Source organism: Homo sapiens, chromosome 19, assembly GCF_000001405.40.
Source record: "Homo sapiens chromosome 19, GRCh38.p14 Primary Assembly".
NCBI lineage: Eukaryota > Metazoa > Chordata > Mammalia > Primates > Hominidae > Homo > Homo sapiens.
Window position 1 is genome coordinate 37,906,929 of NC_000019.10, and position 13,548 is coordinate 37,920,476.

Sequence of the window (13,548 nt, forward strand, 5' to 3'; positions counted from 1 at the left end):
AGGTTCCGCCGAATGAAGGGAGGAGGTAGACGGGGCCAGGAGAAAGGAGAAACCGCCCCGGCGGGGCGAAGAGCGCGGCTCTCGAGCTGTAGTCTGCAGGAGACACACCTCCCTCCCTCACGCCCCTCGGGGCTGCGGAAGTGCTCTACAGACTGGAGCTGCACGAAGGCGACCAGCGGACTACCGTTCCTAGGAGGCAGCGCGGCGGTGCGCCTACGGCTCCCGGCAGCCCCCGCGCGCCATTCTCTTTTTGAGTTCGCGGCCGGCTAGGGCGAAACTACAGTTCCCAGGAGGACTCGCGCGAAGCGGCTTGGAAGTGGGCAGCCTGGAAGTCACTCGGGCCACCGGAGCTGGCGGCGTCTCCAGCGAGCGGCGCGGAGCTGGACGCCGCGATCGTGGGGCCCGCGAGGCGGGCAGCCGGGGCGTCCAGGTACGTGGCTCCGGGTGCAGGATCGGCCTCGCGCAAGGGTGGCGGGGAATCGGTGGCTGCCCGGACCCCGAGGGTCAGCGCGGGCGGACGGCCGGGTGTGGGTACTGGCCGTGGGGGGCGGCGGCGCCGGGACTCGCGCCCTCCGGACCCAGCCGGACTCGTGCCCGCATGGCTCAACTTTCCAGGCGTGCACCCCGGCGCTGTGGTGAAGAGCTTGGAGGCGGGGAGCGGTGGATTCGCGTCCCGGCTGTGCCACTCGGGAGCCGCGATCTGGGAAAACCGCGCCGAACCTCAATTTCCCCTGCAGTAAAACGGAGTAGGAGAGCATCTTGGCGGAGACTCTGTTGAGATAATATAATAAAACATTTGGCACATAGGAGGCACTTACTACGTATTTGGGTTATTGTTAGCTCTCCGAAAAATGAGGTGAAGATGTTATCGATTGCATAGGGTGAGGATTAGTTGAGCGTGTGCATGTAAAGAGGTGAGTCCTTAGTTAGCACCCAATGCAGGCTAGCTGCTGTTAACCGAGATTATTTTGTTAAGAGCGTTGGTTTGGAAGGCAGAGAGACCCCAGGTTCAAATTTGAACATTTACCAGCTGTGTGACTTTGGGCAACTGGCTTCACCTCTCTGTGCCTTGGTTTCCCTATCTATAAAATGGGGATTTAAATAGCAACCACTTCGTCGAGTTGTTTTCAGGATGCAGTGAGAATACCATGTGTAAAGTGCTTAGCACAGCAGCTGGCATATAACGCTCAGTAAATGGTACCATTTATTCAGCGTTTTCCTAGTGGCCCAGAGACCCTCTGAGGGTGGGGCTCTGGCCGTAGTATTGGTCACCCCCGAGGGCCAGATTCAGAACTGGTCCAGTTGACTTCCCTTCCTACTACCTCAGGTTCCTCATTTACAAAATGGGATAATAACAAGATCACTCTCAAAGGGTTGTAAGGATTTGCTGAGATTGTATTTCTAGTCCAGCGCCATCTCTCACTAAGTAGCAGCTCTTATGTATTATAATTGTTCTTCAATATTCTCCATCTGGCCCAGAGACTGCCTGACTGTGGGCTGTGACATGACAGCCCTGAGCTCCCCCACACATTTGCTCCCATCCTCAGTGTCCCATCTGTGGAATGGTAGTCATAGGACTTTTGTGCCAGGATTGTTTGGATGGTTCCAGGAGATAATTCATGTTTAGTGCTTTGCACAAGGCCCGGCACACAGTAAGTGCTTATTAAATGATTAAATGTATCTTGCTGTTTTTTTTTTTAATAGGCCCTTTTTGCTTCTGTTTGTACCTACATGGCAGAGTGAGCACAAAGTTAGTGTTTTTTTATCTTCCCCCTCCCTCCCAAATTTTACTTACCAAAGATTAAATTATGGAACACACTATAGTAGAAAGGCCTAAGAAGAAATGGGTCTGACCTGCCATCAGCAGTCCCCTGCTCACACACCCCTCCCCACAGAGCCAGTATGTTCACTCCAGTGCTTTAATTATTGTCCTGGTGCTGCCAGCTTTTGCCTTTGTGTCCCAAAGCCACTGAGTCCCCTGCACTCCAGCTCCAGATGTGGAGCCTGTGCTTCTTTGATGCTGTGGCTCAAAGAAGTGGCTGTTTCTTGGGCACCATAAACTCAGCATGTCCAACCTGAACTCCTTCTCCTCCTGGAACCAGTAGTCACCATCTTGGCAAATGTGCCAGCATTGACCTGGTTGCCTAAGCCAGAAACCTGGGAGTTGCTCTTCTTCCCCAGCCTTCCCATATCCAGTCAACTAGCAAGAAGGACGAAGCTGCCATTTCATAGAAACACCATTTCATTGGCCCATATTGGTCTCCCATCTGATGGGCACTGAAAGTTCCCCTCAGCTTGAGACGGAGTCTTGCTCCATAGCCCAGGCTGGAGTGCAGTGGCACAATCTCAGCTCACTGAAGCCTCCGTCTCCCGGGTTCAAGCAATTCTCCTGCCTCAGCCTCCTGAGTAGCTGGGATTACAGGTGCCCGCCACCACACGTGGTTAGTTTTTTTTTTTTTAGTAGAGATGGGGTTTTCACCATGTTGGCCAGGCTGGTCTTGAACTCCTGACCTCAGGTGATCTACCCATTTTGGCCTCCCAAAGTGCTGGGATTGTAGGGCATGAACCACCGCGCCTGGCTGTGACAAGGTTAAGTCAAGTCATTAGGGATTAACATACGTAAACCTATGTAACATATGTATTAATAAGGGCAAGAAGATGTTATAGACTTGGCTAGACAGCAGTGGCTGTGGATGTGGCATGAAAGCCTGGCTTTCAGGGGACCCAGTTCTGTGATTTTAGCCTGGTAAAGATCGGCTGAGTTGTTAATTTCTTTCAGAAAAGTTAGATGGTGTCAGCGGCTTAGAATATCCCGTGTGGGAGGGTGGCCATCCTGGGCATTTCAGGAGGCAGCACACATACCACACACCCAAGAAGAGGCTGGGAAGGGAATTTATTAGCGCTCCCCTTAGGTTGAGTTTATTGTCAGAAACCTGTCATTGTGATTTCATTTGATGATAGAAACCGGTGGCCTCAATCACATTTGTGATGGCCAACAAATTTACCTAAGCATTTTGCTAACCTGAAGAAGTAAAGCAGTGGCTTAAAAAAAAAAAAAAAAAAGCAGCACGTGGCTTTTTAGCAGTCAGTGTAGAATGAATGATCTAAGAGTTAAATGTGAGTCTGTGTTTCAGACATTGCAGTTGTTAGGTGGTAAATCAAAAGTGGAATTTAGAATGTGCAGTGATTGGTGCCTCATTTTTTTGCTGTAAAATATATTTTACTGATATATTTCAAACATAGTCTTAGTAACTTGTAAAATGTAAATTAAATGTATTTACATTTTAATAAAAGAATTCAATAATCATTTCCTTTAAAATAAAGTGTTTGTTTTTAGCTATTAGAATGAGAGGCTATTTGGCAGGGTGCAGTGGCTCATGCCTGTAATCCCAGCACTTTGGAGGCTGAGGTGGGTGGATCACTTGAGCCCAGGAGTTTGAGAGCAGCCTGGGCAACATGGCGAAACCCCATCTCTACAAAAAATTAGTCAGGTGTGGTGGCACACATCTCTAGTCCCAGCTACCCGGGATGTTGAGGCTGTAGTGAGCTGTGATTGCAGCATTGCACTCCAGCCTGTGTGACAGAGTGAGACCCTGTCTCAGAAAAAAAAAAAAAAAAAGAATGAGAGGCTGTTGTACCAGTTTGTGCATTTGTGTATTCTTCAAGACTGATATTGCTTCCTTTTTGTTGTTTTTAGACAGAGTCTTGCTCTGTGGCCCAGGCTGGAGTGCAGTGGCACGATCTCAGCTCACTGCAACTTCCACCTCCTAGGTTCAAGCGATTCTCCTGCCTCAGCCTCCTGAGTATCTGGGATTACAGGCATATGCCACCATGCCTGGCTAATTTTTGTATTTTTAGTAGAGATGGGGTTTCGCCATGTTGGCCTCGAACTCTTGACCTCAGGTGATCCACCCACCTTGGCCTCCCAAAGTGTTGAGATTACAGGCGTGAGCCACCGTGCCTGGCCTATTGCTTCCTTTTTTTAAGGACTATTTTGGTCATGACCTTTTGTGCGTGTGTGTATGTATGTGATTGGGTTGAATTTAGCTTAAAAAAAGTTATGCAAGAAATTCATGCTTGTTGTAACGTGTCAAACAATACAGAGGTGTAGGGAAAATACCTAGTGCCACCCTCCACTCCAAAACCCCATGTCGCCAGAGATAACCATTTATTCAGACAGTGAGTATCTATTAAGTATCTATTGCTAGGCTTTGGAGATAGCATAATGAACAAAATGGATGTGCTCTCTGCCCTTGTGATTTGGACAGATGCTTCAGTTATCTTTTTCTGTGTTTATATTGATTATGTTTGTATGTATGTGCGTGTGTGTGTGTGTGTGTGTATCGACTGTTTTCTTCCTCCTCCCATACCATTCCCCAAAAAAGGAGGGGGTAGGGATCAAGCTACACCTATTTGTAACCCAGTTTTTTCAATTAATGGCTGGGCATGTCCTTCCAAGTCATTACATATAGATCTGGCTTATCCTTTTCAACAGCTGTACCCACATTCTTCAGTGCAGAGAGACCACGCTTTATTCCAGCATTCCCCCACTGCTGGTCCTTTAGGTTGTTCCTCTGAGATGTCTTTTTTTTTTTTTTGAGACGGAGTCTTGCTCTATCGCCCAGGCTGGAGTGCAGTGGCGCAATCTCAGCTCACTGCAAGCTCCGCCTCCTGGGTTCACGCCGTTCTCCTCTGCCTCAGCCTCTCCGAGTAGCTGGGACTACAGGCGCCCGCCACCACGCCCGGCTAATTTTTTGTATTTTTAGTAGAGATGGGGTTTCACCGTGGTCTCGATCTCCTGACCTCGTGATCCGCCCACCTCAGCCTCCCAAAGTGCTGGGATTACAAGCGTGAGCCACCGCGCCTGGCCCCTCTGAGATTTCTTTACCTCAGCAAACACACATCTAATAAGTATCCTTGGTGGTGGCTCAGGAGATCGAGACCATCCTGGCTAACACAGTGAAACCCCGTCTCTACTAAAAAATACAAAAAAATTAGCCAGGCGTGGTGGCCGGTGCCTGTAGTCCCAGCTGCTCAGGAGGCTGAGGCAGGAGAATGGCGTGAACCTGGGAGGCAGAGCTTGCAGTGAGCCAAGATTGTGCCACTGCACTCCAGCCTGGGCGACAGAGCGAGACTCCATCTATAAAAAAAAGAAAAAATTAGCAGGGTGTGATGATGAGAGCCTGTAATCCCAGCTACTTGGGAGGCTGAGGCAGGAGAATTGCTTGAACCAGGGAGGTGGAGGGTGCAGTGAGCCGAGATTGTACCACTGCACTCTAGCCTGAGTGACAAGAGTGACACTCTGTCTCAAAAAAAAAAAAGTATAAAAAGTATCCTTTCACATAGGCAGCATGGCCCAGTGGCTGAAGCACAAACTCTGGGGCCACATGGTCTGGGTTCACACTGTGACTCTATCCTATATTAGTTGTGATACCTTGGGCAAATCATGTGTCCTTCTGAGCCTTAGTGTCCTGATCTGAAAATGGGGATGATACCAGTGTCTTCCTTATAGGGTGGTTGTTGAGAGGTTTCATAAGATTATCTATGTCAAGCCTTCAGGGCAGGGCCAGCTGTGATCTTTTTTTTAGAGACAGGGTCACTCTGTTGCCCACGCTGGAGTGCAGTGGCGTCATCATAGCTCACTGTAACCTTGAACTCCTGGGCTCAAGTGATCCTCCCACCTCAGACTCCCTAGTAGCTGGGGCTACAGGTGTGCACCACCACACCCAGCTAATTTTTAAATTTTTGTAGAGATAGGGTCTCACACTATGTTGCCTAGACTGGTCTCGAAGTCCTGGCCTCAAATGATCCTCCCGCCTCAGCCTACATGTGTTCTTTCAAACCCAGAGAAATTCACAGGAAGAGCCAACTCAATCACTTGAAACACCAGGTAGAAATAAGAAAAAGTTATATTGCAGGGATCCCGCTTGGAGATGTTGGGGGCCTAAGGTGAGGGATCCAGCTGCCGCTGAAAGAAGGGAGGAGATTTGCCCAGGAAGACAGGAGCCAGTAAAGTGCCCTGACCACAGTGGGTGGTGGGGGTGAGGGGCTGGTGGTGGAGCATCAGTGGGAAATATCACTCCTCATATTTGCGAGAAGTGTGCCATGGTTGGAAGGTGGCTTAGGTGGCGGGCAGACCAAGTTCAAATCACAGTATAGCCACTAACTTGTAAGATGTGCACTGAGCTTTTTTCTTCATTGGCAAAATGGGTATGATAGTAGTCTTTACCTCGGGGGTCGCTGGAGACTGAATGAAATGTCTGCAAGACTTTCAGCACATTAGGCTGTCATTAGCCCTGTGCAGTTAGCTACTATTCTTATTTTATTGAGTTGACAGATGTGTTGAGACCCTGCTGTGAGCCAGGGTCCTATCCTAGGCACTGAGGATTCAGCAGTCAACAAGACAGACAAGATCCTTGCTGTCCTAGGGTTTACATTCTAGCCATTCTAGCCCGGGAAGACACACAATAAACAGGATCATTTCACTTTGTGTTTTTGAGATGGAGTCTCGCTGTCACCCAGGCTGGCACAATCTCAGCTCACTGCAACCACTGCCTCCCAAGTTCAAGCCCATCTCCTGCCTCAGGCTCCTGAGTAACTGGGATTACAGGCATGCGCCACTATGCCCTGCTGATTTTTGTATTTTTAGTAGAGGAGGGGTTTTGCCATGTTAGCCAGGCTGGTCTTGAACTCCTGACCTCAGGTGATCTGCCTACCTTGGCCTTGTACAGTGCTGGGATTACAGGCGTGAGCCACTGTGCCCAGCCTTTTCTTTCTTTTTTTTTTTTTTAATTAAAAAAAATCCTGGCTGGGCACAGCGGCTCACGCCTGTGATCACAGCACTTTGGGAGGCTGAGGCGGGCAGATCACGAGGTCAGGAGATCGAGACCATCCTGGCTAACAAGGTGAAACCCCGTCTCTACTAAAAATACAAAAATTAGCCAGGTGTGGTGACAGGCGCCTGTAGTCCCAGTTACTCGGGAGGCTGAGGCAGGAGAATCACGTGAACCTAGGAGGCAGGAGGAGGCGGAGTTTACAGTGAGCCTAGATTGCACCACTGCACTCCAGCCTGGGCGGCAGAGTGAGAGGCCGTCTCAAAAAAAAAAAAAAAAAAAAAATCCTGATCCTGCCTCTTCAGATAGTTTTAACTGTGATGGAGAAAATTTAACAGGGTAAGTGGAGAGCAAATGGCTGATGGGGCAAGATGGCGGTGGTTACCTTAGCTTTGATGGTCAGGGAAGGCCTCCCAGGCCTCTTTGAGGAGTCATGTGAACTGATACCTTAATGAGCAGTGGCACTGGCTATGCCGAAAGTTGAAGAAAGAACATTCCAGGTAGAGGGAACAGCAAGTGTTAAGGCCCGGAGGTGGGAGTGAGTTTGCTACAAAGAGTATCAGTTTGACTGGAGAAGAGTTAATTCCTAGTTTTCAAGTTGATACTACTTTAATTTTTTTTTTTTTTGTGGCAGGGTCTGCTCTGTCGCCCAGGCTGGAGTGCAGTGGCATGATCTCAGCTCATTGCAACCTCTGCTTCCTGGGCTCAAGTGATCCTCCTGCCTCAGCCTCCCAAGGAGCTGGGATTACAGGAATGTGCCACCACACCTGGCTAATTTTTTTTTGGTACTTTTAATAGAGGAGACAGGTTACACCATGTTGGCCAGGGTGGTCTCAAACGCCTGACCTCAGGTGATCTGCCTGCTTCAGCCTCCCAAAGTGCTGGGATTACAGGTGTGAGCCACTGCAGCCGGCCACATTTTTTCTATTTTTTGTAGAGACCTGTTTTGCCCAGGCTGATCTTGAACTTCTGGGCTCAGGTGATCCTCCACCCTCAGTCTTCCAAAGTGCTAAGATTACAGGCACGAGCCACCATACCTGGCCTACTTTTTTATAAAATAATAATAATGATAGCAGCTTACCTGGTGCTTACTCTGTGCTAGATGCTTTTCTAAGCATTTCACACATTCCTCAGTTAATCCTGACAGTAGTCCAGTGAAGTAATTAACTTGATCAAACTCATTTTACAGATGAGGAAACTGATTCCACCCTCCATGCTCTTCACCTGCATTCTAAACTCTTCCAGGGCCCTCCTTACCAGGCAGAGGCAAATTGAGGAAGTGGACACAGCATTTCCTTTCCTTGTTGTTTGACATGCAAAGCACTTTAGACTATATTTAGTACCTAATTGATGTGGCAGCAGGGGCCGCCTGGGATGTTGTGGCATCATTTTTGCTCTCAATGAGACACGATAGGGATGGTTTGGTGGTGGTTTCAAAACTAAAGACCCTCCAGCAGAGCCTGTCAAGTAAAACAAGGTTGACTGCTTGGTTGCCATACCAGGCACAGGTTAGCATGAAACAAAGTGTAGTGTCCAAGGAGAGGGAGCAGGGTGTCTCCTTTGGGTGAGCTTTGCAAGGGGACTTGGGACTTGGCTGGAAAAGGTGTTTTTTTTTGTTTGTTTGTTTTTGTTTTTTTTGAGTCAGAGGCTCGCTCTGTTGCCCACGCTGGAGTGCAGTGGTGTGATCTGGGCTCACTGCAACCTCCGCTTCCTGGGTTCAAGCGATTCTCCTGCCTCAGCCTCCTGAGTACCTGGAGTTACAGGCGCCCACCGCCACTCCCAGCTAATTTTTGTATTTTTAGTAGAGATGGGGTTTCACCATCTTGGCCAGGCTGGTCTCCAACTCCTCACCTCAAGTGATCCGACGGCCTCAGCCTCCCAAAGTGTTGAGATTACAGATGTGAGCCATGCACCCAGCTGGAAATGGTGTTTTAAGCACACTAGCCATGTGGGCTGTTAAAGTATCATACTATAGCCCATCAACTAAGACAATGATTCTTGGACCTGTAAGGGCCCCAGGTCCCTGCTCCGGCATCATGACCTGTGTGCACTTTGATTTGCTGTAGCGTGGGCGTATTTTGAATGAAGGGTAGCCCTGGTTAGATGTGAGGACAGTAGTGGGTGCTTTTAAGACTAAAAATATTGGGTGGGCATGGTGGCTCAGGCTTGTAATCCCAGCACTTTGGGAGGCCGAGGTGGGAGGATTACTTCAGACCAGAAGTTCAAGACCAGTCTGGGCAACATAGACCCCAACTCTGCAAAAAAAAAAAAAGTTTTTGTTTTTGAGACAGTTCTCACTCTGTTGCCCAGGCTGGAGTATAGTGGTATGATCACAGCTCACTGCAACCTCTGCCTCCTGGGTTCAAATGACTGTCCTGCCTTAGCCTCCACAGTAGCTGGGATTACAGGCGCCCACCACCACACCCGGCTAATTTTTATATTTTTAGTAGAGATGGGGTTTTACCATGTTGGCCAGGCTGGTCTCAAACTCCTGACCTCAGGTGGTCTTCCCGCCTCAGCCTCCCAAAGTGCTGGGATTACAGACGTGAGCCACCGCATCTGACCTCATCTCTGCAAAAAATTTTTAAATTAGCCAGGCTTGGTGATGTGCACCTATAATCCCAGCTACTCAGGAGGCTGAGGTGAGAGGATCACTTGAGCCCAGGCACTACCACACCTTGAGCCCAGGAGATCAAGGATACAGTGAGCTATGATCACACCACTCTGTGTCTAAAAAAAAAAAAAAAAAAAAAAGACTGAAAGTATGGAGAGCATCTTTCATCTGTCCATCTGTGAAACATTTCTTCACCTACCCTGTGTGTCAGGGTCCATGCTTGACACTGACAGTATAAAGTTGAATAAGACACTGGTTCTCAAAAGCCCACAACAGTGCTGTCTGTTAGAAATATAACGTGGGGCCGAGCGCGGTGACTCATGCCTGTAATCCCAGCACTTTGGGAGGCTGACGCGGGTGGATCACTTGAGTTCAGGAGTTCGAGACCAGCCTAGCCAACATGGTGAAATCCCATCTCTACTTAAAATACAAAAATTAGCTGAGTCTGGTGGCATGTGCCTGTAATCCCAACTACTCGGGAGACGGAGGCAGAGAATCACTTGAACCCTGGAGGTGACAGTTGCAGTGAGCCAAGATTGCACCACTGCACTCCAGCCTGGGCAACAGAGTGAGACTCCTTCTCAAAAAAAAAAAAATGTGGGTCACTGATGAGGCTCATATAGGTAATTAAAAATTTTCTAGTAGCCATATTTTGAAAAGTAAAAGGAAGCAGGAAAGTAATTTTAATGATATATTTTATTTCATCTAAAACATCATTTCAACATGTAATCAATATAGAAATTATTAGTGAGCTATTTTACTTCCTTTTTTCCACATTAAGCGTTTGACATACAATATGTATTTTACACTTTCAGCGTATCTCAGTTGGTACCAGCCATGTTTCAAGTGCTCGGTGGCTACATGTGGCTAATGGCTACCACATCGGACAGCACTGGCCGAGGGTATGAGATTCACGTGTAAATCAAAGGTGGTAGTTCAGTGATAGATCTGACATGCCACTCCTGTTTTATCTTGGCGGAGAAGGGCAGATGTATGATGAAAAGCAGGTTTATCACAAGCAGTTATAGCTAACCAAAGAGCTACTGTCCATCAAACTTGCTGTATGTGCCTGGCACTGTGCTTAGTGTTGGTGGGTGTTGCCTGTGTTCGGAGGTGCCAGGGACTACAGTTATTCCCATTTCACAGATGAGGAAGCTGAGATAAGGCAATGAGAGGTCACTTGCTCAAAGTTGGGAAGTGGCAGAGGCAGCATTTGAGCTCAGGTGCAGAGTGTATACTTTTAAACCTGTTTTATATGCTGTATTGGAGGGTGTTTAAGGGGGATAGGGTCTGAGTTTTGAGCAATGAAAACCATAGGAGGGACTTGTTGCACAAAATCGATTCTGAGGCCGGTCGTAGAAGATCATACCTGTAATCCTAACATTTTGGGAGGCCCAGGCAGGAGGATTGCTTAAGCCCAGGAGTTTGAGACCAGCCTGGACAACAAAGCAAGACTCCACCTCTACAAAAATTTAAAAAATTAGCTGGGTATGGTGGCTTGTGCCTGTGGTCCCAGCTACATGGGTGGCTGAGGTGGGAGGATTGCTTTAGGCCAGGAGGTCAAGGCTGCAGTGAGCCGTGATTGTGCCACTGCACTCCAGCCTGGGTGACGGAGAAAGACCCTGTCTCAAAAAAAAAAGAAGTCCCAGTTTGTCAGCATTAATCTCTGGGTTTACATTGGTGTCGGTGTGCTGGTTTGAGACCTGAATGATTGAGAGGTCCACTCCTTAAATTGACCTCTAGGTTTGCTGGAACCTGGAACCTTACCTCCCAGGAAAGAGAGGGGTCTTTGGGGAGTTGGGAGGAGGGTGAGCAGGGGGACTAAGGAAGGCAAGGAAAGGTCTTGGCGTGTTTGAAAGCTCATTTCTTTGTTTTTTGTTTGTTTGATTGTTTGTTTGTTTTTGAGACAGGGTCTTGCTCTGTCACCAGGCTGGAGTGCAGTGGCGCGATCTTGGCTCACTACAACCTCCACCTCCTGTGTTCAAGTGACTCTCCTGCCTCAGCCTCCCGATTAGCTGGGACTACAGGTGCGCGCCACCACACCTAGCTAATTTTTGTATTTTTAGTAGAGATGGGGTTTCACCATGTTGGCCAGGATGGTCTCAATCTCTTGACCTTGTGATCCGCCTGCCTCGGCCTCCCAAAGTGCTGGGATTATAGGCATGAGCCAGCATGCCCAGCCTGAAAGCTCATTTCTAAATTGCTGCTTTGGGGCCAGGCCTGGTGGCTTATGCCTGTAATCCCAGCACTTTGGGAGGATGAGGAGGGCGGATCACCTGAGGTCAGGAGTTCAAGACCAGACTGGTCAACATGGTGAAATCCCATCTCTACTAAAAATAGAAAAAATTAGCCAGGCATGGTGGTGGGCACCTGTAATCCCAGCTACTTGGGAGGCTGAGGCAGGAGAATCAAACGAACCCAGGAGGCAGAGGTTGCAGTGAGCCAAGATCACACCACTGCACTCCAGCCTGGGCGGCAGAGCGAGACTCGGTCTCAAAATAAATAAATAAATAAATAAATAAATAAATAAATAAATAAATAAACAAACTGCTGCTTTGGACATGAAACCTGTTGTGTCGCTGACTCTGGCCCTCATTGCTGTGTATTCTGGTGGGTGCTGTGGGCTCTGGTGGAAGCAACAGCAGAGCTTAGCTTGTGAATGTGTCTTACCCTTGCTGTGCTCCAAAGACATTGCCAGTGGATGGGGTGTGGGGAAGGGACATCACAGTGGTTTCCTCTGTCAACTCTATGAGAGTCGTGGTTCTAGACTTTTTGGAGGTGTCAGGTGCAGGTTGAATCCTGGCCTTCTACCTAAACAGGGCAGGTGCTGGAGATTCTCAGCTTGTTCCTGTCCCCAGATGGTGCTCACCACACTTATCTCCAACTGCTGGACAGTGCCTGGCATGTGAGAGATGCTCAGTAAGTATCTGTTGAATTAATGATACGAGCCAGCATTCACTGAGCTCTTACTATGTAGGAGGCACTGTTCTGACTGCTTCTCAGCTAATATCTTATTGAATCCTTAGAACCACTCCTTGGGGTAGGTACTGTTGTTATTACCATGTCTCGTAAGAGGAAACTGAGTTACAGAGAAGTTCAAGTCACAGAGCTGGTGAGTCTCAAATTCAGGATTCCTATGCAAGTCACTGGCTCCAGAGTCTAGGCTCTTAAACACTCACTGTGTGGTCTTTCGATGAACAGACAGACGAACAGATGGGGCAGACAAGCAGGACCATTCTCACTTGTTCCGGCCTCCTCACTCCACACGTGGTCTCCCCCTGTTTTGGGGGAGCCCCACAACAGATCCCAGGCCCCTTTGGGCCCTGAGGCTTTTTTTTTTTTTTTTTTTTTTGAGACAGAGTTTCACTCTTGTTGCCCAGGCTGGAGTGCAGTGGCGCGATCTCAGCTCACCGCAACCTCTGCCTCCCGGGTTCAAGCAATTCTCCTGCCTCAGCCTCCCAAGTAGCTGGGATTATAGGCATGCGCCACCATGCCTGGCTAATTTTGTATTTTTAGTAGAGATGGGGATTCTCCATGTTGGTCAGGCTGGTCTCGAACTCCCGACCTTAGGTGATCTGCCCACCTTGGCCTCCCAAAGTGCTGGGATTACAGGCATGAGCGACTGTGCCTGGCTGGGCCCTGAGGCTTTAATACCCCTCTGGCCAGTGCTTCTTGGTTTGTAATTTTTTTTTTTTTTTTTTTGAGATAGGGTCTCACTCTATCACCCAGGCTGGAGTACAGTGGCATGATCATAGCTCCCTGCAGCCTCTACCTCCTGGGCTCAAGCGATCCCCCATCTCAGCCTTCTGAATAGTTGGGACTACAGGTATGCACAACCATGCCCAGCTAATTTTTAATTTTTTTGTAGAGATGGGATCTCTCTATGTTGCCCAGGCCGGTCTTGAACTCTTGGACTCAAGCGATCTTCCCTTTTTCCTCCCAAAGTGTTGAGATTACAGGCATGAGCCCACCATGCCCAACCTAAAAAGTCCTTATCTATAAGATGCTCATGCTGAAATATCTATGATTAAACTGTTAAGATATCTCGGATTTCCTTCAAAATAATATAGACAGGCAGAGAGTGCAGGGGCTCAAGTGTGC

General features: G+C 48.5%; 1 protein-coding gene across 4 annotated transcripts in view, besides 7 other annotated features; it reads left to right on the forward strand.

The window, feature by feature from the left end:
• SIPA1L3 (signal induced proliferation associated 1 like 3) overlaps window positions 280-13,548 on the forward strand; it is a 301,162-nt gene continuing 287,893 nt past the window's right edge. For 3 of the 4 annotated variants that reach the window (NM_015073.3, XM_017026518.3, XM_047438490.1), the window contains exon 1: window positions 280-430. The gene's annotated coding sequence lies outside the window, so the exon portion shown is untranslated. Of the gene's footprint in view, window positions 431-12,266; window positions 12,367-13,548 lie in introns of all 4 variants that reach the window. The other variant, XM_047438486.1, reaches the window with a different exon arrangement.
• Window positions 392-631: a silencer, noted in NCBI's record as "silent region_10559". NCBI's record gives its function as "represses an Ori minimal core promoter by ATAC-STARR-seq in GM12878 lymphoblastoid cells {active_cell/tissue: GM12878}" and the evidence as "EXISTENCE:reporter gene assay evidence [ECO:0000049][PMID:35858748]".
• Window positions 932-991: an enhancer, noted in NCBI's record as "active region_14557". NCBI's record gives its function as "activates an Ori minimal core promoter by ATAC-STARR-seq in GM12878 lymphoblastoid cells {active_cell/tissue: GM12878}" and the evidence as "EXISTENCE:reporter gene assay evidence [ECO:0000049][PMID:35858748]".
• Window positions 3,843-3,912: an enhancer, noted in NCBI's record as "active region_14558". NCBI's record gives its function as "activates an Ori minimal core promoter by ATAC-STARR-seq in GM12878 lymphoblastoid cells {active_cell/tissue: GM12878}" and the evidence as "EXISTENCE:reporter gene assay evidence [ECO:0000049][PMID:35858748]".
• Window positions 4,043-4,092: an enhancer, noted in NCBI's record as "active region_14559". NCBI's record gives its function as "activates an Ori minimal core promoter by ATAC-STARR-seq in GM12878 lymphoblastoid cells {active_cell/tissue: GM12878}" and the evidence as "EXISTENCE:reporter gene assay evidence [ECO:0000049][PMID:35858748]".
• Window positions 7,961-8,826: an enhancer, noted in NCBI's record as "H3K4me1 hESC enhancer chr19:38405529-38406394 (GRCh37/hg19 assembly coordinates)". NCBI's record gives its function as "activates a minimal SCP1, AML or CMV promoter by ChIP-STARR-seq in naive H9 embryonic stem cells {active_cell/tissue: H9 hESC(naive)}" and the evidence as "EXISTENCE:reporter gene assay evidence [ECO:0000049][PMID:30033119]".
• Window positions 8,827-9,692: an enhancer, noted in NCBI's record as "H3K4me1 hESC enhancer chr19:38406395-38407260 (GRCh37/hg19 assembly coordinates)". NCBI's record gives its function as "activates a minimal SCP1, AML or CMV promoter by ChIP-STARR-seq in naive H9 embryonic stem cells {active_cell/tissue: H9 hESC(naive)}" and the evidence as "EXISTENCE:reporter gene assay evidence [ECO:0000049][PMID:30033119]".
• Window positions 12,123-12,242: an enhancer, noted in NCBI's record as "active region_14560". NCBI's record gives its function as "activates an Ori minimal core promoter by ATAC-STARR-seq in GM12878 lymphoblastoid cells {active_cell/tissue: GM12878}" and the evidence as "EXISTENCE:reporter gene assay evidence [ECO:0000049][PMID:35858748]".